This window comes from Homo sapiens, chromosome 19 (assembly GCF_000001405.40).
Source record: "Homo sapiens chromosome 19, GRCh38.p14 Primary Assembly".
In the NCBI taxonomy this organism is placed as follows: domain Eukaryota; kingdom Metazoa; phylum Chordata; class Mammalia; order Primates; family Hominidae; genus Homo; species Homo sapiens.
Window position 1 is genome coordinate 47,255,492 of NC_000019.10, and position 23,677 is coordinate 47,279,168.

At 56.8% G+C, this 23,677-nt stretch overlaps 2 protein-coding genes across 11 annotated transcripts, besides 9 other annotated features; both read left to right on the forward strand.

Annotated features, from left to right (window-relative positions):
* Nucleotides 383-1,292: an enhancer, noted in NCBI's record as "H3K27ac-H3K4me1 hESC enhancer chr19:47759131-47760040 (GRCh37/hg19 assembly coordinates)". NCBI's record gives its function as "activates a minimal SCP1, AML or CMV promoter by ChIP-STARR-seq in naive H9 embryonic stem cells {active_cell/tissue: H9 hESC(naive)}" and the evidence as "EXISTENCE:reporter gene assay evidence [ECO:0000049][PMID:30033119]".
* Nucleotides 1,034-20,232, forward strand: CCDC9 (coiled-coil domain containing 9). Of its 9 annotated transcripts, XM_047438583.1 has the most exons (15): nucleotides 1,034-1,118; nucleotides 2,839-2,912; nucleotides 3,068-3,172; nucleotides 4,830-4,931; nucleotides 5,097-5,348; nucleotides 9,112-9,195; nucleotides 9,282-9,455; nucleotides 11,120-11,301; nucleotides 14,916-14,962; nucleotides 15,062-15,197; nucleotides 15,591-15,696; nucleotides 15,783-16,158; nucleotides 16,578-16,670; nucleotides 17,866-17,915; nucleotides 18,475-20,232. In XM_047438583.1, the coding sequence occupies exons 2-15, from the start codon at nucleotides 2,910-2,912 to the stop codon at nucleotides 18,490-18,492; spliced, it is 1,728 nt and encodes a 575-aa protein (XP_047294539.1). In that variant the 5' UTR covers nucleotides 1,034-1,118; nucleotides 2,839-2,909; the 3' UTR covers nucleotides 18,493-20,232. The 9 variants fall into 9 exon arrangements, with proteins under 9 accessions (XP_047294539.1, XP_047294536.1, NP_056418.1 ...); XM_047438580.1 differs by lacking the exon at nucleotides 18,475-20,232 and having other exon boundaries at nucleotides 17,866-18,344; XM_047438582.1 differs by lacking the exons at nucleotides 1,034-1,118; nucleotides 18,475-20,232 and adding an exon at nucleotides 2,006-2,418 and having other exon boundaries at nucleotides 17,866-18,344.
* Nucleotides 1,183-1,292: a silencer, noted in NCBI's record as "silent region_10847". NCBI's record gives its function as "represses an Ori minimal core promoter by ATAC-STARR-seq in GM12878 lymphoblastoid cells {active_cell/tissue: GM12878}" and the evidence as "EXISTENCE:reporter gene assay evidence [ECO:0000049][PMID:35858748]".
* Nucleotides 1,503-1,742: a silencer, noted in NCBI's record as "silent region_10848". NCBI's record gives its function as "represses an Ori minimal core promoter by ATAC-STARR-seq in GM12878 lymphoblastoid cells {active_cell/tissue: GM12878}" and the evidence as "EXISTENCE:reporter gene assay evidence [ECO:0000049][PMID:35858748]".
* Nucleotides 1,783-1,832: a silencer, noted in NCBI's record as "silent region_10849". NCBI's record gives its function as "represses an Ori minimal core promoter by ATAC-STARR-seq in GM12878 lymphoblastoid cells {active_cell/tissue: GM12878}" and the evidence as "EXISTENCE:reporter gene assay evidence [ECO:0000049][PMID:35858748]".
* Nucleotides 11,175-11,674: an enhancer, noted in NCBI's record as "H3K4me1 hESC enhancer chr19:47769923-47770422 (GRCh37/hg19 assembly coordinates)". NCBI's record gives its function as "activates a minimal SCP1, AML or CMV promoter by ChIP-STARR-seq in primed H9 embryonic stem cells {active_cell/tissue: H9 hESC(primed)}" and the evidence as "EXISTENCE:reporter gene assay evidence [ECO:0000049][PMID:30033119]".
* Nucleotides 17,776-18,085: a silencer, noted in NCBI's record as "silent region_10850". NCBI's record gives its function as "represses an Ori minimal core promoter by ATAC-STARR-seq in GM12878 lymphoblastoid cells {active_cell/tissue: GM12878}" and the evidence as "EXISTENCE:reporter gene assay evidence [ECO:0000049][PMID:35858748]".
* Nucleotides 18,696-18,955: a silencer, noted in NCBI's record as "silent region_10851". NCBI's record gives its function as "represses an Ori minimal core promoter by ATAC-STARR-seq in GM12878 lymphoblastoid cells {active_cell/tissue: GM12878}" and the evidence as "EXISTENCE:reporter gene assay evidence [ECO:0000049][PMID:35858748]".
* On the forward strand, nucleotides 18,932-20,232 carry INAFM1 (InaF motif containing 1). Of its 2 annotated transcripts, NR_037675.2 has the most exons (2): nucleotides 18,932-19,007; nucleotides 19,556-20,232. NR_037675.2 is itself a non-coding variant. In NM_178511.6 (1 exon), exon 1 carries the CDS (start codon nucleotides 19,429-19,431, stop codon nucleotides 19,855-19,857), a length of 429 nt encoding a protein of 142 aa, NP_848606.3. In that variant the 5' UTR covers nucleotides 19,394-19,428; the 3' UTR covers nucleotides 19,858-20,232. The 2 variants fall into 2 exon arrangements, 1 of the variants encoding a protein (NP_848606.3); NM_178511.6 differs by lacking the exon at nucleotides 18,932-19,007 and having other exon boundaries at nucleotides 19,394-20,232.
* Nucleotides 19,316-19,765: a silencer, noted in NCBI's record as "silent region_10852". NCBI's record gives its function as "represses an Ori minimal core promoter by ATAC-STARR-seq in GM12878 lymphoblastoid cells {active_cell/tissue: GM12878}" and the evidence as "EXISTENCE:reporter gene assay evidence [ECO:0000049][PMID:35858748]".
* Nucleotides 22,905-23,042: a transcriptional cis regulatory region, noted in NCBI's record as "candidate enhancer chr19.5070 targeted for multiplex CRISPR interference". NCBI's record gives its function as "positively regulates INAFM1 gene expression with high confidence in K562 cells {active_cell/tissue: K562}" and the evidence as "EXISTENCE:mutant phenotype evidence [ECO:0000015][PMID:30612741]".

A 23,677-nucleotide genomic window follows, 5' to 3' on the forward strand; every position in this document is an offset into this window, starting at 1 on the left:
CGATGCTCCTGCCTCAGCCTCCCAAGTAGCTGGGATTACAGGCGCCCGCCACCATGCCTGGCTAATTTTTGTATATGTATATTTTTTGAGACGGAGTCTCCCTGTGTCGCCCAGGCTAGAGTGCAGTGGAGCGATCTCGGCTCACTGCAAGCTCCGCCCCCGGGGTTCACGCCATTCTCCTGGCTCAGTCTCCGGAGTAGCTCGGACTACAGGCGCCCGCCACCACGCCGGGCTGATTTTTTTTGTATTTTTAGTAGAGACGGGGTTTCACCATGTTGGCAAGGATGGTCTCGAATTCCTGGCCTCAAGTGATCCGCCCTCCTCGGCCTCCCAAAGTGCTGGGATTACAAGCGTGAGCCACTGCGCCCAGCATTTTATTTTATTTTCGAGAAGGGGTCTGCTCTGTCGTCTAGGCTGCAGTGCGGTGGCATGATCTCGGCTCACTGCAACCTCTGCCTCCCCGGTTCAAGCGATTCTCCTGCTTCAGCCTCCCGAGTTGCTGGGATTACAGGCGCGCGCCACCACAACCGGCTAATTTTTTTTGTAGAGACGGGATTTCACAATGTTGGCCAGACTGATCTCGAACTTCTGACCTCAGGTGATCCGCCCGCCTCGGCCTCCCAAGGTGCTGGGATTACAAGTGTGAGCCACCGCCCACGGCCGGTAGAACATCTGAAGCTTCTAAAGCGAACTCTAAGGTTTCATTGGCACGAGGGGGCTCGAACCACGCCAGGCTTCCAGGCGTCAGTGCCCAGTGCTTGGCATCTACTGATAGAAACCAGGAATGAGGGGCTGGAGGCGGAAACAGCTTGAAGAAAGAGGTAGAGGCCAGGGAGTGAGGACGGTGTCTCCTTTTCCTGGAAGTTGGTAATTCAGGCAGAAGGAAGTTGGATGAGCTTGCGGAACACCCGGGGGGCCAGTCGGCCCCGCTCCCGCATCCATCGCGGAGGCGCGGCCCCTTTAAGGCTCCCGGAAACGGTCCCACAGGACCGGAAGTGACCCTCTTTATTTCCCTTCCTCACGTGGTGCAGGCAGGAAGTGACGCGCCTGGCCCGGGAGCTGCGGTCGCAGAGGCCGACGGAGCCGGAGTCGCGGACGCCGCGGGGTCTCCGGGACAGGTGACCTGGGGGAGGGGGCCGGGAGCGCGCCCAGAGAAGGCGGGGCCTGAAGCCCCACGTGGCGGGGAGTGCGAACAGGCCCGGGCGGGGTCGGAGTTCTCTGCGGGGGGCGGGGACAGGACGCCCACATGGGAAGCTGGAGGGGCGCTGGCGGGGCGGGCCGTTGGGTGGGTGGGCAGGGTCGGGGCGGGGCGTGGCCAGAGCCTGGGCCGGCGGCTGTGGGCGGGACCTAAAAGTTGTGGCTGGACTGTGGGCGGGGCCATAGTGTTGCTTGTTCAGCTGTGTGGCGGGGCTCGGACGCCGGGCGGAAGCTCTGTGGGCGGGGCCAGAAAGTTTTGCCTTACTGGAAGTGGGTCCAGATTCTTGGCCGGGACGTTGGGGGCGGACCCAGAGGCTGACGCAATGGCGGGGGCGGGGCCACAATGTAGTGGGGGAGCCAGGGGGCGGGGCCAGGGTGCTGGCGGGGAATGCTGGGGGTGGAGCCAGAAAGTTTCGTCTGAGCCACGGGCGCGGCCAGAGCGTTGGCCGGGAGGCGGGGAAGCGGGGAGTTGAGCCAGAACCCTGGGGAAGCCATGGGCGGGGCCAGATGCTGACGCAACGAGGTGTGGGAGGGAGTCAGGGGGCGTGTCCAGGAGGTTGGCCAGGCCAATCGGAGGCGGGGCCAGAGGGTTGACTGGGCAGGCCGGGGGCGGGGCTGGAATAATAATAAGAGATGGTAGGGGCGGGTGTAGGCTGTTGCCTGCGAGCCAGGAGGCGGGGAAAGAGCGTGGCTGGGAAAGTCGGGAGCGGGGCCACATTAATGGCCCATGGGTGGGGGCGGGGCCAGAAGTCTGGCGGGAAAGGCGGGGCCAGAAAGTTTTTTCCCGAGCCGTGGGCGGGGCCAGAGCGGTTTCCAGGATGTCGGGGACGTGGCCCTGGCATTCCCAGCCGGATTGAGGCTGGAGCTTTGCACAGAAAATCTGGGGCGGGCCTGGGTAGTTTTGTCCTTGTTGGGGCGGGTGGAGTATTCAGTGGGGCAAAACGCCAGTTCCAGGAAGCCTCGCCAGTGAGTTCTGGGCCTGTGTACAGAATCCTTTCGGGGGAGGCGGGAGGCTGTCGACCTTCCGTAGGGCGCTGGAGACGGGACTAGGACGTCCCTGAGGAAGGCGCGGGCTTGGAATGTTCTCTGAGAGCTTGGGCAGCCAATAAGAGTGGGGTTCGGACTTTCTTTGAGCGTGGGATTGGGAATGTTTCTGAACCTTACCTGGTGGAGCTAGAATATTCGCCTGGATATGAGAGGCACCAGGATGAGCACAGGGAGGTGGGTCTGGAACTTTCTTTTGCAGGCTGGTTGGAGGGGTTGTAGTTGGAACTCTCTTGAGATAGGGAACCCGGGCTAACACTCATACCACAGGGTGTGGCGGCTGGCCTAGAATCAGCCTTTGGAGGAGAGCAGTGTTGGATACTTAAGCAGTGGGTGGGGGCCAGAACATCCCCAAGGTGGGTTTGACTAGATCGTTTACATGGGAACTGGGTGAGTCCACAAAGATCATGAAAGGGCTGAGTCTGAATTTCTATGGAGAAGATGGAGGTGGCAGTTGAAAGGAGGGAGAGTGAGGGCTACAATTCTCTTGGGGTACAGGGTTTTTTGTGTATGGCTGTGAGGATCCCGCAGTATGTTAGAGGGTGAAGTAGGTTGGGGGGCCATTGGCCTTTGTCCTTTTTTTCCCTCTGTCCCCAGGAACCCTCAGTGCTGCGTCTAGATTCTGCAGGGGAGGTTTGCTGGGACCTTGGCTCCACGCAGCCAGCGAAATGGTGAGGCTGAAAAATGGGGTCTCTAGAATCTGAGTTTTGGGGAAGGGGGCTTGGGAGGATGGGATCCATAGGGGCAGACTCTCAGACCCTGGGGGAAAGTCCCTGGTATGGATGGAGGTTTTTCCTTCCATCCCTCAACTGCCTCCCGGTCTCAGGCAGCCACACTCGATTTGAAATCAAAGGAGGAGAAGGATGCTGAGTTGGACAAGAGGATCGAGGCTCTTCGGCGGAAGAATGAGGCCCTCATCCGGCGCTACCAGGTGCCCTAGCCCCGCCCTGGGAGACCCCATCCCCTCTCTTCCCCGCAGTGAGTTTTTCTCACCTCTCCCTTCCTTAAAACCTTTTCATGGCTCCCCATCACTGTCAGGATAAAGGCCAAAGGCCTTAGCCTGACATCCCTTCTTTCATTCCATTATTCATTCATTCATTCATTTGTTCACAAATATTCCCCAAGATCTTTACCAGCCCCAGTGCTGAGTGGTGCTGGGGATATAGCTGTGACTGAGACAGACCCAGGCCTGCCCCCTCCAGGGTCCACCGTCTAGTCAGGGAGACAGCCCTGTCCTCAGGGATGCCCCAGAGCAGACAAGTCTGGAATCAGGAAATTCAGGGGTCTGTGGGAGTCCAGAGGAGGCTCTTGACCCAGCCTTGGGGATATCAGGGAGGGCTTCCTGGAGGAGTGGACTCTGAGGCTTGAGTGGTGAGTAGACAATAGCCAGTTGAAAAGGCGAGGGGAACATGTTTCAGGCAGAAAGAACAGTTTGTGCAAATGTTGGAAGCAAGAGAGAGCTTGGAGCTTCAAGTTGGAGGGTTGGTTAGGAGAGAATTGACCTGGGCAGGTCAGCAGGGGCCAGGCTGTGCTAGGCCCTGAATGCCACCAGGATGAGTTTGGACTTTGTCCTGAGGGCACTGGGGAGCCAGGGAGAGCCTTGAGCAGGGGTGGGACCGGTCAGAACAGCTCTTTAGGAAGACGCCTCTGGGTGCTGTGCGGTGGTGGGTGCGAGGAGGTGATACTGGAGCCCAGAGACCAAGGAGGAAGCTGGGGCTGGAACCCTAGTGGGAGAGGAGGTACCTGGCTCAGGGCAGGGCTGTTGAGAGGGACTCAGTTACTGATGGGCAGTTCAGGGCAGGGGGAGGAAGAGGGAGGATTTAGGACAAGGCTGCTGAGTAGGTGATGTGGCTCTCCCTGAGATGGGATCTGGGAGGTGGCATGGGTTTCATTTATTCATTCTTCATGTATTCATTCATTTTAAAAAAGGCATATTGAATTTCCCTTGTGGGCCAGGCAGCGTTCTAGACTTGGGATACACGTCAGTGACATACATCACTGAAAGCAGACAGACATTCCTGTCCCCAGGCAGATTCTGCCGTAGTGGAGGAAGCAGACAGTGAGCGAGACGCATATGGTGCTGGGTGCAAATGGGATGAGAACAGAGAGGGTGGCAGGGGAGCTGGTTTCCACAGGGTGCTCAGGGAAGGCCTCACGAGAAGGCAGCATTGGAGCAGAGACCTACAGGAGGTGAGGGGTTGGAGGGTCTCTGGGAAAAGTGTTCCTGGCAGAGGGATCCGCTGGCGCAAAGCCCCTGAGGCAGGTTTCAGCCTGGTATGTTGTGGGAATAGCAAGGAAGCCGGAGTGATCGTGGGGAGAGGGTGAGAGATGAGGTCGGGGAGGTACCAAGGCCAGACCCCACGGGTCCCACAGGCTGTGGGGAAGGCTGTTACTCAGAGGGGCACCACAGGAACGTTCTGAGTGGGGCTGCAACGTGCTGAGGTTTGAGGGATATGAGCGGCCTTCTTGTTCAGAGTCCAGGAGAGAGGCCTGGGCTGGGGCCAGACTTAGGAGGAGTTCAGGGGTCTGGGAGTCCGTCTGGCAGACAGGGCACCTGATGCTTCCCTACCCCGGCTGTCTGCTCCTAGGAGATTGAGGAAGACCGTAAGAAAGCTGAACTTGAGGGAGTCGCAGTCACAGCTCCCCGAAAGGGCCGCTCAGTGGAGAAGGAGAACGTGGCAGTGGAGTCGGTGAGCTCGTCACTGGGGTGTGGGACCCTGAGGATGGGGAGGGGCAGAGGGTTGAGGCCTGGGACCCAGGAGCCCCCAGCTGTCCTGCACCAGTGGGTGGCCTCCATCCTGGCCGCATGCCTCCCTGCCCCAGTGACTGTATTTTCCCCATCTCCCCTCTTCCAGGAGAAGAACCTGGGTCCTTCCCGGAGGTCTCCTGGGACCCCTCGGCCCCCAGGGGCCAGCAAGGGGGGCCGGACTCCTCCACAGCAGGGAGGCCGGGCCGGCATGGGCCGAGCATCGCGCAGCTGGGAGGGCAGCCCCGGGGAGCAGCCTCGAGGAGGAGGAGCTGGGGGCCGTGGCCGGAGGGGCCGGGGCCGAGGTTCACCTCACCTCTCTGGAGCTGGAGACACCTCAATCTCTGACCGTAAATCCAAGGTAGGAGCTAGGCAGCGCCTGGAGCCCTGGCTGAGGTTCTCTGTTGTCTGTTTCTGTTTTTTCCTCCTCTCAGATGCACATTTGTCCTGTGTGTCCATCTTTCAGTATCTCTCTCTGAGCCTTTGCATCTGGCTCTGTTTCTCTCTTCCTCCACCTCCTTCTCCTCCTCCTGCTCCCCCTCTTCTAGTTCCCCCTGTTCCTTCCCTCTCACGCCTAGAGCTCGTGTGTTTTTCCTTGTCTCTTTCTCTCCTACTCCTGCTCCCCGTCTTCTTGTTCCTCCTCGCCTTCCTTCCCTCCCCTCTCCTGCTTAGTGCTGCGTGTCCCTCCCTGTCCCTCTCTGTCTCCCTTTTTCTCGCTCTCTGGTGCATGCTTGCCCACTCATCCTCCGTCCCCATCTCTCCTCCCTTTCTGGCACTGTGTGTCTGTCTGGTGGGCTCTCTCTATCTGGTGTGCTTGTGAGCACAGGCTCTGTGTGGCATTCTGTTTCTGTGTGTTTCTCTTGGTCCCCGGCTTTGGTTATGGGGAGCAGTGATTTTACTGTAACTACCTCACTCACCCCTGACGTGCAGGTCAGCAGGGTGGGAGTCTGTCTAGCTGAGTGGCTTACAGCCCACCGTGGACATGGGTTGAATCTGGTTCTGTGAGCTACCTGGCCTTGGGCAGCTCACTTCCCCTGTGAGCTTCTGGTTCTAGCACTTACACGGGAATAAGAAAATTCAAAAATTAGCTGGACGTGGTGGTGGGCACCTGTAATCCCAGCTACTTGGGAGGCTGAGGCAGGAGGATCACTTAAACCTGGGAGGTGGAGGTCACAGTGAGCCGAGATCATGCCACTGCACTCCAGCCTGGGCGACAGAATGAGACTCTGTATCAAAAAAAAAAAAAAAAAAAAAAAATGCTGGGCGTGGTGGCTCACGAGGCCTGTAATCCCAGCACTTTGGGAGGCTGAGGTGGGCGGATCACCTGAAGTCAGGAGTTCGAGACCAGCCTGGCCAACATGGCGAAACCCCATCTCTACTAAAAGTACAAAAATTAGCCGGGTGTGGTGGCACACGCCTGTAATCCCAGCTACTCGGGAGGCTGAGGCAGAAGAATTGCTTGAACCTGGGAGGTGGAGGTTGCAGTGAGCCGAGATTGCGCCATTGTACTCCAGCCTGGACAACAAGAGTGAAACTCCGTCTCAAAAAAAAAAAAATAATTAGACTTAAATTGGGCATGCCAAGCTGCTGTCACACAAAGACTCCAAAAATTTCATGACCTAAGTGGAGTAGGAGTTTATTTCTCCCTTGTATGCTGAGCCCTGCAGGGAGGTGGGTGGTCCAGGGGGTGAGGCCCTGCTCCATGATGTCACTCAGGGACCCAGGTTCCTGCTTTTTTTTTTTTTTTTTTTTTCTTGAGACAGAGTCTCACTTTGTTGCCCAGGCTAGAGTGCAGTGGCATGATCTTGGCTCACTGCAACCTCCGCCTCCTGGGTTCAAGCAATTCTTGTGCTTCAGCCTCCCAAGTAGCTGGGATTACAGGTGTGCACCACCACACCCGGCTAGTTTTTGTGTTTTCAGTAGAGATGGGGTTTCGCCATGTTGGCCAGGCTGGCCTTGAACTCCTGACCTCAGGTGATCCTACCGCCTCGGCCTCCCAAAATGCTGCGATGACATGTGTGAGCTGCTGCGCCCGGCCTGGTTCCTGTTTTTGTTGCTTGGTGGCCCCTAGGTCCTGGTCATTGTCTGTGGTAACAGCTGGGTTGCCGACATGGTTGCGGTTCAGTTCACAGGAAGGGGAAAGATAAGTCTGCTTTATCACTTTTGGTCATGTCCTGTTGGTGAGAACTTAGACACCTGGTCATACCTAACCTCAAAGGAGACTGGGAAATGAAAACGTTGTCTACAGCTGGCTGGCTATTTGCCCATCTAAAATTTTGTCACTAGCTTGGTTACTAGTAACAAGTAGTTACTAGCTACTTGGAATGCTGGGTGCTGTGGTATGGGCTTGTGGTCCTAGCTACTTGGGAAGCTAAGGTGGGAGGATCGCTTGAGCCCAGGAGTTTGAGACCAGGCTGGGCAACAGAGTGAGACCCCATCTCTATAAAAATTTTAAAAATTAACTGGACGTGGTGGTGTGCCCCTGTGGTCCCAGCTACTTACTTGGGAGGCTGAGCCAGCAGGATCACTTGGGAGGCTGAGCCTGGGAGGTCAAGGATGCAGTGAGCTGTGAACACACACCACTACATTCCAGCCTGGGCAACAGAGTAAGACCCTGTCTCAAAAAAAAAAAAAATCAATAAATTTTTGCTACCATGGAAGGAAGAAGGGGAGAACGGATTGTGGTTGGTGGGGGTAGGTCACCTAACCATCTGCCAAGTAATTACTGTTATTACCACCACTATGATTGCGGCAACCTTGGTGTGCCAGGGCCCCCAGCACCCTGACACTGAACTCGCAGGTTCAGTGGTTTGCTAGAAAGACTCATGGCTTAGATTTATCACAGTGAAAGAGATCACAAAGCAAAATCAGCAGGGGGCGGGGTACCTGGGCTGAGGTCTGGAGGAAACCCGGCATGAACTTCCAAGAGTCCTTTCCCTGTGGAGTCCCAGGGGATGCGCTGAATTCCTCCAGCACTGAATTGTGACAACATGTGGCTTACCAGGGATGCCCACGAGAGATTCAGCACTCCAGGTTTTTAATTGGGGGCTGGTTTATTTTTATTTATTGTATTTATTTAGTTTTTAAAATTTCTTTTTGTTTTTGAGATGGAGTTTCACTCTTGTTGCCCAGGCTGGAGTGCAGTGGTATGATTTCGGCTCACTGCAACCTCCGCCTTTTGGTTTCAAGCAATTCTCCTGTCTCAGCCTCCCAAGTAGCTGGGATTACAGGTGCCCACCACCATGCCCGGCTAACTTTTGTATTTTTAGTAGAGACGGGGTTTCACCATGTTGGCCAGGCTGGTCTCGAACTCCTGACCTCGTGATCCACCTGCCTCGGCCTTCCAAAGTGCTGGGAATACAGGCGTGAGCCACTGTGCCCGACCCGTTATTTTTATTTTTATTTTATTTTATTTTTTGAGACAGAGTCCTACTCTGTTGCCCAGGCTGGAGTGCAGTGGCACAATCTCGGCTCACTGCAACGTCCACCTCCTGGGTTCAAGTGATTCTCTTGCCTCAGCCTCCCGAGCAGCTGGGATTACAGGCGCCCACCACCATGCTTGGCTAATTTTTTTCGTATTTTTAGTGAGATGGGGTTTCCCCATGTTAGCCAGCCTGGTCTCAAACTCCTGACCTCAGGTGATCCACCCACTTCGGCCTCCCAAAGTGCTGGGATTACAGGCGTGAGCCACCGCGCCCGGCCACTTTTAAAATTTTTTGTAGAGACAGGGTCTTGCTATGTTGCCTAGTCTGGCCTTGAACTCCTGGGCTGAAGCAATCCTCCTGCCTTGGCCTCCCAAAGTGCTTGGATTAGAGGTGTGAGCCACCATGTCAGCCTGGAGGCTAGTTTTGAACGCAGGCCCCTTCTGTCTAGTATGTACTGAAATTCCAGACCCCCCAGTAGGAAGGCGAATGCAGCGTACAGCGTGTTGTTCGCATAGTCCAAGCCTGGCCAGCCAGCCTCATCAGTTCACTGCTGACCTGGAGCACGCTGAGAGCAAATGGTCAGATGCCAGCAGGCCAGTCCGAGGAGAGGAGCCTCAGGCCTGCTGGGCAGCCCGTCTCCTGCACCGGCAGCTTAATAGTTCTCCCTGAAGCTGGGTGTCCCTATCTTTATCCCCCCAGGAGTGGGAGGAGCGGCGCAGGCAGAACATTGAGAAGATGAATGAGGAGATGGAGAAGATCGCCGAGTATGAGCGCAACCAGCGGGTCAGTGGTGCGGGTGTCCCCGAGGCAGGGCCGAGCTGCCTGGGCTGCGGGGAGCCCGCGCCAACCCCCTGCTCTGCTGCCTGCAGGAAGGGGTTCTTGAACCCAACCCAGTGCGGAACTTCCTGGACGACCCCCGGCGACGCAGCGGGCCCCTGGAGGAGTCTGAGCGGGACCGCCGGGAGGAGAGCCGCCGGCACGGCCGCAACTGGGGGGGCCCCGACTTCGAGCGGGTGCGCTGTGGCCTTGAGCACGAGCGGCAGGTGGGTGTTGGCAGTGAGGACACCTCGGGGCTCTCAGGGCTTTGATGGGGACTGCATAGCAGGAACCAGACAGATCAGGGCCATGGGGCCTCTCCTTTTTTGTGCCACAGCACAGGACTTTTTTTTTTTGAGACGGATTCTCGCTCTGTCACCCATTCTGGAGTGCAGTGGCACCATCTCGGCTCACTGCAGCCTTTGCCTCCTGGGCTCAAGCAATTCTGCCTCAGCCTCCCGAGTAGCTGGGATTACAGGCAAGTGCCACCACACCTGGCTAATTTTTTCGTATTTTGTAGAGACGGGGTTTCACCATGTTGGCCAGGCTAGTCTTGAACTCCTGACCTCAAGTGATCCACCTGCCTCGGCCTCCCAAAATGCTGGGATTATAGGTGTGAGCCACTGTGCTTGCCCAGGATTTTAATTATTAAGGATTTATGGTATGTTTTGTTTCCTGCCAAGGTAAATCTCCCCTCATTGTTAATGACACCAGCATTTATGAGGCACCTACCACATGGCAGGTGCTGTGTGAGGGGTGGGGACCTGGCCTAGAAGAGGAGGCAGGGGCAGTGTCCTTGCACTTGGTGGTCCACCCCTAAATTGTCCGTCTGTTGGTTCTTCTGTCAGTACCACGTGGCTCTAGTTGTTACAGCTTTGTGGTATGTTTGAGGGTTTTCTTGTTACTAACAGTATTGTTTACTGGGCACTTACTATGTGCCAGGTACTGTTTTAGGTGCTGAGGATAAGAGGTTTTTTTTTTTTTTTGAGATGGAGTCTTGCTCCATCGCCCAGGCTGGAGTGCAGTGGCGTGATCTTGGCTCACTGCAAGCTCCGACTCCCGGGTTCACACCATTCTCCTGCCTCAGCCTCCCCAGTAGCTGGGACTAAGGTGCCCACCACCATGCCCAGCTAATTTTTTGTACTTTTAGTAGAGATGGGGTTTCACCATGTTAGCCAGGATGGTCTCTATCTCCTGACCTCGTGATCTGCCCGCCTCAGCCTCCCAAAGTGCTGAGATTACAGGCGTGAGCCACCGCTCCTGGCTTTTTTTTTTTTTTTTTTTTTTTTTTTTTGAGACAGAGTCTTGCCCTGTTGCCTAGGCTGGAGTGCAGTGGCGCGATCTCGGCTCACTGCAAGCTCTGCCTCCTGGGTTCATGCCAGTCTCCTGCCTCAGCCTCCCGAAAAGCTGGGACTACAGGCACCCGCTACCACGCCCAGCTAATTTTTTGTATTTTTAGTAGAGACAGGGTTTCACCATATTAGCCAGGATGGTCTCCATCTCCTGACCTCATGATCCGCCTACCTTGGCCTCCCAAAGTGCTGGGATTACAGGCGTGAGCCACCGCGCCCGGCGGGAGAAGAGTTTGGAGGCAGAGCCCCTGCCTTGATGAGGTTTCTTCTGGTGGGAGCTGAGTAAATGAAAATATAGTGAGATGTGAGGTCCTACCAAGTGTTGTGGAGAAAAATCCAGCAGCTGAGGGGACAGAGGGATGCTACTTAGGAGATCTGAGAGGGCCTCTGTGAGGAGGTGCCACCTGAGCCTAGTTGATTGTGATCTCTGCCTTGTCATCGCTTCCCTGTGTGATCCTGAGCAAGTGGATGTGCCTCGGGGCTTAGGGGCGGGGTAGGGTGCGGGACATCACCCTGACTCCCTGTGGGCTGGGGGGCAGGGCCGCCGAGCTGGCCTGGGCAGTGCTGGAGACATGACGTTGTCCATGACGGGCCGGGAGCGGTCGGAGTACCTGCGCTGGAAGCAGGAGAGGGAGAAGATCGACCAGGAGCGGCTGCAGAGGCACCGCAAGCCCACTGGCCAGTGGAGGCGCGAGTGGGATGCCGAGAAGACCGATGGGATGTGAGTCTCCTCCCCGCTCCTCTCCCCATGTGGCACGTTGACCTTGGCCCTGACTTCTAAGTCCTATGCCTCTCTCTGGTTTTTCCTGCTGTGTATGAGTGAGTGACTGCCAAGTATCCTGAGATGCCATGGACCAGCTGCTGGAGCTCAGCGGCACGTGAGAGCATTTCTGGTTTTCTTTTTTTTTTTTGAGACGGAGTCTCGCTCTGTCGCCCAGGCTGGAGTGCAGTGGCGTGATCTCGGCTCACCGCAAGCTCCGCCTCCCAGGTTCACACCACTCTCCTGCCTCAGCCTCCCGAATAGCTGGGACTACAGGCGTCCGCCACCACGTCCAACTAATTTTTTGTATTTTTAGTAGAGACAGGGTTTCACCGTGTTAGCCAGGATGGTCTCAATCTCCTGTCCTTGTGATCTGCCTGCCTTGGCCTCCCAAAGTGCTGAGATTACAGGCGTGAGCCACCGCGCGCGGCCGAGCATTTCTGGTTTTCTTTTTGTTTTTGGAGACAGAGTCTAGCTCTGTCGCCCAGGCTGGATGGAGTGCAGTGGGAGGATCTCAGCTCACTGCAACCTCCGCCTCCCGTGTTCAAGCAATTCTCCTGCCTCCGCCTCCTGAGCAGCTGGGGTGAGAGGATTTCTTCTGTGTTCATGGGTATGCTGGGCTGAGCTGATCCAGGCTGGACGCTAAGCTGTGGGTCCCGCTGGGCTTGGCTTCTTGCAGCAGGGTGAATTCACTCTGCGCCAGGGTGTTCATTCTGCTGTCCAGGCTGAGGGCAGCAGCTGCCTGGGGAGCGCTTGCCCTGACATGGGCAGATGCACAAGCAGGCACACTTCCCAGTTGTGTTCGCCAGCACACCCCGCCTCACTGGGGCGGGGAAATAAGCTCTGCCCCCTCCAGTGGATAGGAACACCGGTGGCGGCAGGGACATCAGTTCCAACGCAGGGAGGGCATGAAGGCTGTTTAACAGCGATTAGACCTTTGCATCCTCCTGCCAGCCTCTGACCTGTCCCCAGCAACTCAGATCCCTGAATGTCTCCATGCCTCACCGTCACCTTTTTTTTTTTACTTTTTTTTTGAGACGGAGTCTCGCACTGTTGCCGGGGCTGGAGTGCAGTGATGTGATCTCGGCTCACTGCAACCTCCGCCTCCTGGGTTCAAGCGATTTTCCTGCCTCAGCCTCCTGAGTAGCTGGGATTACAGGCACGTGCCACCACATCCAGCTAATTTTTTGTAATTTTAGTAGAGGTGGGGTTTCACCATGTTGGCCTGGCTGGTCTTGAACTCCTGACCTCATGATTCACCCACCTCAGCCTCCCAAAGTGCTGAGATTACAGGTGTGAGCCACCGCGCCCGGCACCACCACCTTCTTAACCCAGTGGCATTGTTAACCTCAAGTTTGACTTTGTCCCCCGATTCAGTCAGACTTAAAGCAAAGCCCTCATTGCATCATCGTCATGGGGACCAACTTCCATAACCAAGAAGGAGAAGGTTCTGGAAGAGCCGATAAATAGCAGTATTTAAAGATCAGCAACTTTAGGTTTTACCTCATCCCCCATTCTTTCCTGTGTTGAAAGTTTTCATTCACCTATAACTTGTTTTTTGGCTTTGGCTAAGGAGGATTTTGTCTGTTTGCCCAGTGGTCGGGAAGCATTTTGTTGTGGATTGTGAACCAAGCCTGTGCGAGTGTGAGAAATAATTTGCACAGATACTATAGCTGATCTTCCTAAGGAGGAGGCAGCTGGGCTTTTGGGGAGATGTTCTCAGCATTCACAATGAGAAAGTATTTGTTTTTCTTATGTGTCCTAAAAGCAGTTTGCAACAAGTCTGATGAATAATGTTTGTGTGGGCCGGGTGCAGTGGCTCACGTCTGTAATCCCAGCACTTTGGGAGGCTGAGGCAGGTGGATCACGAGGTCAGGAGATCAAAACCATCCTGGCTAACACGGTGAAACCCCGTCTCTACTAAAAATACAAAAAATTAGCCGGGTGTGGTGGTGGGCGCCCTGTAGTCCCAGCTACTCGGGAGGCTGAGGCAGGAGAATGGTGTGAACCTGGGAGGTGGAGCTTGCAGTGAGCCGAGATCTCACCACTGCATTCCAGCCTGGGCGACAGAGAGAGACTCCGTTTCAAAAAATAATAATAATAATAATAATAATGTGTGTCTGGGCCAGGCGTGGTGGCTCATGCTTGTAATCCCCACAATCCCAGCACTTTAGGAGGCCAAGGCTGGAGGACTGCTTGAACCCAGGAGGTTTGCAGTGAGCTGTTATGATGCCACTGCACTCCAGCCTGGACCACAGAGCAAGACCCTATCTCTAAGAAAAAAAAATGCATGGTGTCTTGCTTTCATCAGCATATATTTGAGTCCTCCTCTATGTCATGGAAGGTTCTAGGTGATACAGCAGCAAACAAAACATTTCTGCCTTTTTGGAACTAAGAGTGTAGTGGGCAAGGTGGGTAATTAAGAGGTCTAATGTTAGGCCCAGAAGGATAATGATGCAGAGTAAGCAGCCAGGGTGGAGGTTAGAATTTTAGACTTAGATAATCTGTGTAATAATATTATCTTTTTTTTTTTGTTTTTTTGAGACTGAGTCTTGCTGTGTTGCCCAGGCTAGAGTGCAGTGGTGTGATTTCAGCTCACTGCAACATCGCCTCCTGGGTTCAAATAATTCTGATTCAGCCTCCCGAGTAGCTGAGATTACAGGTGCCAGCCACCAAGCCCGGCTAATTTTTGTATTTTTAGTAGAGATGGGGTTTCACCCTGGTCTCGAACTCCTGGCCTCAGGTGATCCGCCCACCTGGACTCCCAAAGTGTTGGGATTACAGGCGTGAGCCACCGTGCCCGGCCCTAATATTATCTTAGCTGGGGGTTCAGGAAGGCCTCTTAGCAGAGCCCTGAAAGGAGGTGAGGGAGTGAGCCAGTGAAAAACGTGGGAAGAACGTTCCAGGAGCAGGCGCTAAGGCCCTGAGGCAGGAGCTAGGTGTGGTGGAAGAGCCTGCTTAGCTGGAGAGGTGAGGGAGACTGGTGGGAAAGGTCAGATAGGGAGTTGTGGGTCATGTACTTGGGCAAGGGTCTGTGGTGATCCCCCCAAATTTTTGTTTTGGCGCCCACATTCTGAATCTTTTTGTATTTGTCACTATGCTGTCAAATTTGCCTCTTGCCCATCACCTGGTCCTATCCTTTGTTTTTTTTTTTTGAGATAGGGTCTCCCTCTGTCACCCAGGCTCGAGTACAGTGGCTTGATTACTGCTCACTGCAGCCTTGACCTCCCAGGCTCAAGTGATCCTCCCTCCTCAGCCTCCCGAGTAGCTGAGATTACAGGCACGTGCCACCACGCCCAGCTAATTTTTGTATTTTTTGTAGAGGTGGGGCTTCACCATGTTCACCACGCTGGTCTTGAACTCCTGGGCTCAAGCGATCTGTCTGCCTCGGCCTCCCAGAGTGCGGGGATTACAGGCTTGAGCCACCATGCCCGGCCCTGTCCTACTTCTAGTGTCCCCTGTCTGGTTGACCGTCTGTCTCTGATCCGATTCCTGACCCTGACCTCTCCCATCTTCTTGATCCTCTTGTTACCCTGTTCCCCCAGCTGCCCGCTCACCCGTTATCTTTCCCCCAGGTTCAAGGATGGCCCAGTCCCTGCCCATGAACCATCCCACCGCTATGGTGAGTGGGTGCCCTTGGATGAGCTGAGGCTCGGTCTGGGAGTCAGGGGTGGTGTGTGCCACACCTTCCCTTCCCAATGACACCTGGGTTCTGTTGCAGATGACCAGGCCTGGGCCCGGCCCCCGAAGCCCCCTACTTTTGGGGAGTTCCTGTCCCAGCACAAAGCTGAGGCCAGCAGCCGCAGAAGGAGAAAGAGCAGTCGGCCCCAGGCCAAGGCAGCGCCCAGGGCCTACAGGTGGGGCACCCCTTCTGCGGGCTTGCATACCCCCAGGGCTCTCCGCAGGGCGTTCTCTTCTTTGGCTTGCTGTGAAGGTGTGGGTACATCTGTCTGTCCCTGTCTTTGTCTTGGCCCTGTCTATCTCGCAGGTCCGTGGTTTGAGGGGCTTGGGATCTGGCTCTTGGTTTTACCCTCATCTGTCCCCTTTCTGCCGTCACCCATCTCCTCTCCTGCTACCTGCCCCACTTTCGTTCTGTCCTTGACACATGGGGACACACATCCGCCATTCCCTCAGCCCTCCACCATGCCAGATGCTCTGGGCAGCTCCTCCCTAGGGAGGGTGGAGGCAGGAAGCCCCTTCCTCCTGTCTACTCTCCACCCAGGCATCACCCCTCCCTCTGTTCCCTCTAGTGACCATGATGACCGCTGGGAGACAAAAGAAGGGGCAGCATCCCCAGCCCCTGAGACTCCACAGCCTACTTCCCCCGAGACTTCCCCCAAGGAGACACCCATGCAGGTGAGGCTGGGCTGTGGTTCAGGGCACGGGCCTGGGGTGGGGGCTCAGGACCTGTGCCTTGCCCTGACTTGCCTGTGTCCCCAAAGCCACCCGAGATCCCAGCTCCTGCCCACCGGCCTCCTGAAGACGAGGGGGAAGAGAATGAGGGGGAAGAGGATGAAGAATGGGAGGACATAAGTGAGGATGAGGAAGAGGAGGAGATCGAGGTGGAAGAAGGTGATGAGGAGGAACCAGCCCAAGACCACCAAGCCCCAGAGGCTGCCCCCACCGGGATCCCCTGCAGTGAGCAGGCCCACGGAGTCCCCTTCAGTCCGGAGGAGCCCCTGCTGGAGCCCCAGGCCCCTGGCACGCCTTCCAGCCCTTTCTCACCACCCAGCGGCCACCAGCCTGTGTCCGATTGGGGTGAAGAGGTGGAGCTGAATTCTCCCCGGACCACTCACCTGGCTGGCGCCCTCTCCCCGGGTGAGGCCTGGCCTTTTGAGAGTGTATGAAGCTGGCTGCCTGTGTGTGTGTGTGTGTGTGTGTGTGTGTGTGTGTGTGTGTGTGCGCGCGCGCGCGCGCGCGCGCGCGCGCTAGAGGGGTGTGGCTGGTGGGGGACCCTTGGGGCTGGGCCCTGGGACCCAGTGTGCCCCACAGCCCTGTCAGCTGAGGGGGTAGCGCAGCCCATGCTCTTCTGTACTGTCATGCCCGTCTCTGGAATGTCCACTCCCAGAGCCTGCCCCAGCCCTTCGAGCCCCCTCCCCAATAAAGAATTCACATCCTCCAATGACATTCCCCCAGGTGTGTCCTTGAACCCCCTTCAACTCCCCCTGGGCCTTCTCTCTTGGGGTGGGGAGATGTCAGGCGGGAAAGGGGGCTTGACTGGGGCTCCCCTTCCCTAGGAGGTGGCCAGTCAGCCCCTGCCTTCCCGGAGAGTGGGCCCAGCCTCCGAGGAACCCAGGAAGCTGAAGAGGAAGGGTCTGAGGCAACTCCAGGTGGGGGAGTGCATGGGGCATGGGATGGAGGCCGCTGCTTCCTCTTTCTCTGGGGCTGAGGGGCAGAGGGCTTGGGGGGAGTGGGGTGAATGTGTGTAGGTAGCAGTTGGACCATAGAGGTGAGGTGAAAAGGGTGAGCTCGGATAGGGATGGGGGGCTGGAGCCGGGTGGCAGGGGTGGGGCAAAGGGGCAACTTTATGGGCCAAGCCAATAGGAATTTGGTATGGAGGTTGAGGAGGTGGGGTTAAGGAAAGGATTAGAATTTTGGAGTCGAGCTCAGGGGTTTTGGAAAGCACTGGTTTAAGAGTAATGGGGTGTGGATCGGATGCCTTGGCTCATGCCTGTAATCCCAGCTAATTGGGAGGCGGGAGGATCGCTTGAACCTGGGAGGCGGAGGCTGCAGTGAGCCGAGATCGCTCCACTGTACTCCCACCTGGGCGACAGAGCAAGACTCCGTCTCAAAAAAGGTGGTTGGCGTTGGTGTACTAGGGCAGGAGCTATAGGCAGACTACGAAATTTGAACTGGCTCGAAAAGGCCAAAGAGATGGGCAAGGGCAGAAAACTGGATTTAACTGTGGCTGGGATTAGAGTTCCGAGGTGCAACCTAGTGGGGCAAATTAGAATAGACATGCGTACCCGATCAGCATTTTGGGACCGACGAAGTGCGAGCAAGAGGCCAAGCCCCTCTCCACCTACACTCCGTAGGAGTAAGATTTCGAATCTCAGATGGCCTCCCCTTCCCCCAGAGTGGGATTAGGATTTTGGGGGCAGAGCCAAGGAAGGACTGGTTAGAATAGCAGGCGTTGGCGAAGGAAAGGGGAGGGCGGGTCCTCTAGGACTGGCTTGGTGGAGGTTGATGAAGGCCGTGAGATGGGGCGGGGGTGGGAGAGGACAGTTTGCAGCCTTGGGTGGCGCGGGGGCCCAGACCCTCTGTCTTGGGCCACTTGTTGGTCGGGAGCCAGATCTCGCCACACCCGCGTTTCCTCGATTGTAAACGGTTATGTTGGGAGTGTTTGCTGCTGCGTGGGTCCGCTGAGAGGATTAGTCTGGGCCCCGTAAACCGCTTAGCGCCGAGCCTGCTGTGGCAAGGGCTCGAACTGGATGAGAGACGTGGCTAGACGGGGGAGGGGTGCTGGGCCGGGGGGGAGGTGGGAAGACTGCTCCCCTCCGCTGACTCAGCCCCTTCTCTCCTCAGAGGCAGGCCCCGAAGGCCAGGAGACGGCGGAGATCACCGACTTCCAGAGGGTGCGTTTCTGCAAGGTGGTGGCGGCCCCTCCGCTGCCGGGGGCCGCTCGCTGACCGCGCCCGCCGGACCGCGGCCTCCGCGCTCTGCACTAACCTCCCACCGCCTCGCTCCTCTGTCCTCTGCTTCTGCCACACTCCAGCCAGGAGAGGGTTAAATCTAAGGGGGGAGGAGCCAGGGTCTGCGAGCCGGGCGGGGCCAGGGCAGTAGTCGGGTGCAGGCCCCACCAACGGGGGACGTCACGGCACTGGGACGGCTGGGACGCTTCCGCGTTAGTCTCCCATGGAGGCCCTGGGCGGCTCGAGCCAGTCTTCAGGCCGAATCTCCCGCCTCCAGGATTGCATCCGAGGCCTGGCAGCCGGTGACACTTCCGAAGGGCTTGAATTACTCGGGCGCCAGCCCTGTCGTATTAAACGCAGTGCTTCCGCTCACCCTTGAACTGTGTTTCTGGAGGGGGCAGGCTGGGTCGCTGTGCTTGGCGGGCTTTTCTGTGGCGGAAGAGGCGGAAGGAAGGGGTCTTCCTCCACCCTTCTGATCCGTCTTCCCTCCCCCCTCCCGCAGGCCTCCCCGAATTCCTGAAGACGCTGCTGGGAGGGGACTGAAGCTTCCCCGCCTTGATGGGGAGGGGGCGTGAGGAGGGGTTTATCTGGATTTCCAGGCTGTGTTCTTTCTACCCCAGAGCCTAGTCTGGACCCCTTGGCTCTAGGGAGAGGGAAAAGCTGACCGTTGGGGAGGAGCTGGGAGAAGGGGCGCGATTGCGGTGAGGGGCGGAGCTGGAACCTCGGGGCCTGAGGTGCTGAGGATACCTGAAAGCGGGCTGAGAGTGTGCTGGAGGAGGCGGGTCCCGCGGGGGCGGAGCTAGGCTGCCTGGGCGGGGCCGGAATCCTGACAGGCGGAGTTAGAGCGGGGGGCGGGGTCAGCGCGCGCGGGTGGGGCTCTGGCCATGGGCATGGGGCGGGGCCGTCAGCGGGGGCGTGGTCGGGGTGTCGCGCGGGAACCCGCGCGGGAGGAGAGCGGGGATTCCGGAACTAGAGTGTGGGAGCCAGAGGCCGTAGCGGGCAGGGCTCGAGCACTGGAGTAGAGCAGTCCGACAGGTAGAGAAGTGAGACTGGCTGCGGCACAGGGCGGGTTAGGGCTCCAGGCAGGGCTTGAGCGGGACGAGGGGGCGGGCTCCGAGGCGGGCTAGATGCCTGGGCTGGATGAAGTCCGAGTCTGGGAAGAGAACCGTGTTGTGGCGGGAGGAGGCGGTGATTGGGGTGGTGGGGCTAAGCGCGGGGGCGGGGCTGGAGCGAGGGGGGCGGGGTAGCACCTCCGCCTGTCGGTGGTGGGGCGGAGGCTGGAGGGGGTGGGCCTAGGATGCGGAGGCGGCAGCTCGCGTGGGGGCGTGACCATGCTGGCGGGGGCGGGGCCGGAGGCGGGCGGTTTAGAGAGCGGGGCGGTCTGCGGGGTGGGGGCGGGGCCTGGTGGGGGCGGGGCCTGTGCGGTCTGCGGCGCGGAGCCGAGTGGGCTGCGGGGATGCGGGGGACCAGCTGCGTGGGCGGCGGCGCCGAGAGCCCCGGAGGCGCGGGGCTGAGCGAGGGCCCGCGGGGGCGCTGGCTGCGCTTGGCTCCGGTATGCGCCTACTTCCTCTGCGTCTCGCTAGCTGCCGTGCTGCTCGCCGTGTACTACGGTCTCATCTGGGTACCCACGCGGTCTCCCGCGGCACCCGCCGGCCCACAGCCCAGCGCGCCGTCCCCTCCGTGTGCTGCCCGCCCGGGCGTGCCGCCTGTCCCGGCGCCCGCCGCTGCCTCCCTCTCCTGCCTCCTGGGAGTCCCCGGCGGGCCGCGACCCCAGCTCCAGCTGCCGCTGAGCCGCCGCCGCCGCTACAGCGACCCTGACCGCCGTCCGAGCCGCCAGACACCCAGAGAGACGCCAGAGGCCGCGGAGGGGCGAAGACCCGGGTAACTCTCCCTTCCACCCCAACCCGGATCGCCAGCCCTCGAGAGCTCTGTGCTCCACGCCGAGGATGCACCGTCTCTGGATTGGTCCGGCCTTCTTCCTAATGACATCGCTCAGCGTCTCTGGAGCCGTCATCCCGCGGAATGGGGGCCCAGGGGGTGTCAGCTCGGGGCCTTGCCTCTTGCAGCTACTCTGTGGTCAGGCCGGGTCCTCCACCATCAGGAAGATCCCATCCTGAGCTCTGTCTCCTGCCCCTCCTGCTGTGGGATGCTGAGCACAGAGCCCACAGCCCATCTGCCTCTTCACCTCCCTGAATCCGTGTCCATCTGCAATAAACGACAGCCTCGGCTGCCTCGTGCTGTGTCTGTCCTGTTGTCTGCAGAGATGCCTCCCCTCCCAAGTTTGTGTGGGAAAGACCTTCCTGGGGTGTGGCCTTTGTCTGTTTTGTCCCGGGTGGGCTGTTCCCCTTCCTTAAGGAGCTCTTCTTTTCTTGGAGTAGGGAGAAGCAGCTTAGCAGCAGCAGGGCCTTTGAAGGTCAGACAGTGGGAAGGGCTTCCCAGTTTTTTGTGTGCTTGGAGCAAAGGACAAATGTCTCTGGGGAGAAGCAGAGTGTCTGCCCTCGTGTTACAGCACAGGAGACAAGAGGAGGGGTGGGGTGATATAGGACAATAGCTGGGGTTCTGGGAATTGCTGTTGGTGTAATTATCATGTCAGGGACAGAGGCTGAATCACCCAGGGATCTCAGTTGGCTGCCGAGAGGGAACGATGCTGGCCCACTTCCTGGGGTCAGAGAGATGAGAGTGGATGGCGGCGGCGGTGGTGTTGCTTCTCAGCCTGTCTGGAAATCTCAGAGCCAATGACCAAAGCGCTGTGCTGCCTTGGAAGACTGGTGCAGCCTCTGGCCTGGGGCGCTGCTAGGAAACCAAGGCCGGGAAACTGAGGTCTAGCTTCTGGGCAAGGAGTCCGAGGTGGGGAGGCCATGTTCCATCCTGGAAGACTGAGGCCTGGCTCTGGACAGGGCCTGGGATCTGACATGCAGGAAGCTGGTTCCTGTCCAGCCTCCCCGCTTGAGCTGGAGGCCTTCCCAGGAGAGTGAGGCTGAGCATCTTCTCCCACGCTGTGGCTCCTGGAGATCTGTGGAGGTGGTTAGGAAGGTCAGCTGCTCTGCTCACCTCCCCTTTACCCCACCACCACTCCCCAGAGGGTGGTTGTGAAGGGGAATCTAGGAAGCCAGCACTTCTTTGTAGTCAGCATAGGTGATAGTTAGGGGCACTGACTGGGGCGAGACTACTCGGGTTCAAATTCCAGCTCCTCTCATTACAAACTGTGTGACTTTGGGCAGGTCACTTGACCTCTGTGTTTCTTTTTTTTTTTTTTTGAGATGGAGTCTTGCACTGTTGCCCAGGCTGGAGTGCAGTGGCATGATCTTGCTCACTGCAACCTCCGCCTTCTGGTTCAGGTGAGTCTCCTGCCTCAACCTCCTGAGTAGCTGGGATTACAGGTGCCCACCACCACACCCAGCTAATTTTTTTTTTGTATTTTTATTTTTTATTATTTTTATTTTGAGAGAAGTCTCACTCTTGTCCCCCACGCTTGAGTGCAATGGCTCGATCTCTGCTCACTGCAACCTCCACCTCCCAGGTTCAAACAATTCTCCTGTCTCTGCCTCTCAAGTAGCTGGGATTAAGGCCCCTGCCACCACGCCTGGCTAATTTTTGTATTTTTTAGTAGAGACGCGGTTTCACCATGTTGGCCAGGCTGGTCTCGAACTCCTGACCTCGTGATTTGCCCACTTGGGCCTCCCAAAATTCTGGGATTACAGGCATGAGCCACCACACCCGGCCTCTGTTTCTTTTTTTTTTTTTTCTTTTGAGACGGAGTCTTGCTCTGTCGCTCAGGCTGGAGTGCAGTGGTGCAATGTCGGCTCACTGCAAGCTCCGCCTCCTGGGTTCATGCCATTCTCCTGCTTCAGCCTCCTGAGTAGCTGGGATTACAGGCGCCCGCCACCACGCCTGGCTAATTTTTGTATTTTTAGTAGAGACGAGGTTTCATCATGTTGGTCAGGCTGGTCTCAAATTCCTGACCTAAGGTGATTTGCCCACTTTGGCCTCCCAAAGTGCTGGGATTACAGGCGTGAGCCACTGCACCCAGCCTTATAACTTATTTAAAATTTTTAAGCATTTTTTGTTTGTTTGTTTAATAGAAATGGGGTTTCACACTATGTTAGCCAGGCTGGTCTTGAACTCCTGGGCTTAAGTGATTTTCCTACCTTGGCTTCCCAAAGCCCTGGAATTATAGGCATGAGCCACTGTGCCTGGCCCTGCCTCTGTGGTTCTGTAGAATGAAGATGCTAATGGTACTTCTTCATAGACTTGCTCTGAGGAATAAATAAACTGGTGATCTCAAGCCCTGAGAACGATGTCACATGTTCTCTCTCTCCACCACCTCTGTCCCTCAGGGTTTAAAAGCCCCAGCTGGGATCCTCTGGGGATAGCAAGTCAGTCCAAAGCCCTGGCCACCAGCAAATGGTGAGTTTGAGGGAGGGGCCTCTCCATTTCGGTTCCCACTGGCCCCCCTCTCTTTGGTTTTCATCTCTCTTCTCCCAGCCCCATTTTTTCCTACTCTTTCGTTTCCTTGTTGCTGTGTGTCCTGGCTCTTTTCTCTTTCTGTGTTTGTCTCTCTGCGTCTCAGTCTTTCTGTGTCCTGTTTATCTCTCTGGTGTCTCTTGGTATTGTTTCTCTCTCCCACTCTGTATGTCTCTGACTCATTCTGCTCATTCTGTGTCCTCCCTATTGCTCTCTGTCCCCAGCTCGTTCTTTTTTTTTTTTTTTTTTTTTTAGATGGAGTCTTGCTCTATTACCCAGGCTGGAGTGCAGTGGCGGTGGGATTACAGGCGCCCACCACCATGCCCGTATAATTTTTGTATTTTTAATAGAGAGAGGGTTTCACCAGAGTGGCCAGGCTAGTCTTGAACTCCTGACCTCAAGTGAGCTTCCCGCCTCGGCCTCCCAAAGTGCTGGGATTACAGGCGTGAGACACTGTGCCCAGCCCCAGCTGATTCTCTTTCTTCTCTCCTCCACACTTATCTTACCCCAACACTTTCTTCCACCTTGCTCCCCTTCCCCTGCCCCCGCACCCCACAGCTTCCAGGTCCCTAGTCTCAGTGTCCCCTGTCTCCTTCCCTTTATCTCTTCCTTTTCTCCTCCTATTTCTCTTGGTTTCTCTTTTGGTCTCCATTGTTTAATCTTCCTTTTAACAAATATTTTTTGAGGCTGGGCACAGTGGTTCTTGCTTGTAATCTCAGCACTTTGGGAGGCCAAAGCCAGAGGATCACTTGAGGCCAGAAGTTAGAGACCAGTCTGTGTAACACAGCAAGACTTCATCTGGACAAAAAATTAAAAAATTAGCTGGGTGTGGTGGTGCATGCCTGTAGTCCCAACTACTCAGGAGGCTGAGAGGAGAGGATTGCTTGAGTCCAGGAGGTCGAGGCTGCAGTGAGCTATGATTGCACTACTTCACTCCAGCCTGGGAAACAGCAAGATCCTGTCTCTAAAAAACTAAAAAAACAACCCACCCAAAACCCACAATTATTTTTTGAGCATCTGCTGTGTGCCAAAGCTTATTTTAAACACTGGAGACACAGGAGTGAATAAAACAGGCAAAAATTCCTGCTCTCGGCTGGGCGTGATGGCTCATGCCTGTAACCCCAGCACTTTGGGAGGCCAAAGCAGGAGGATCACTTGAGGTCATGAGTTTGCGACCATCCTGAACAACATAGTGAGATCCTGTCTCTACAAAAAATACAAAAATTAGCCGGGCATGGTGG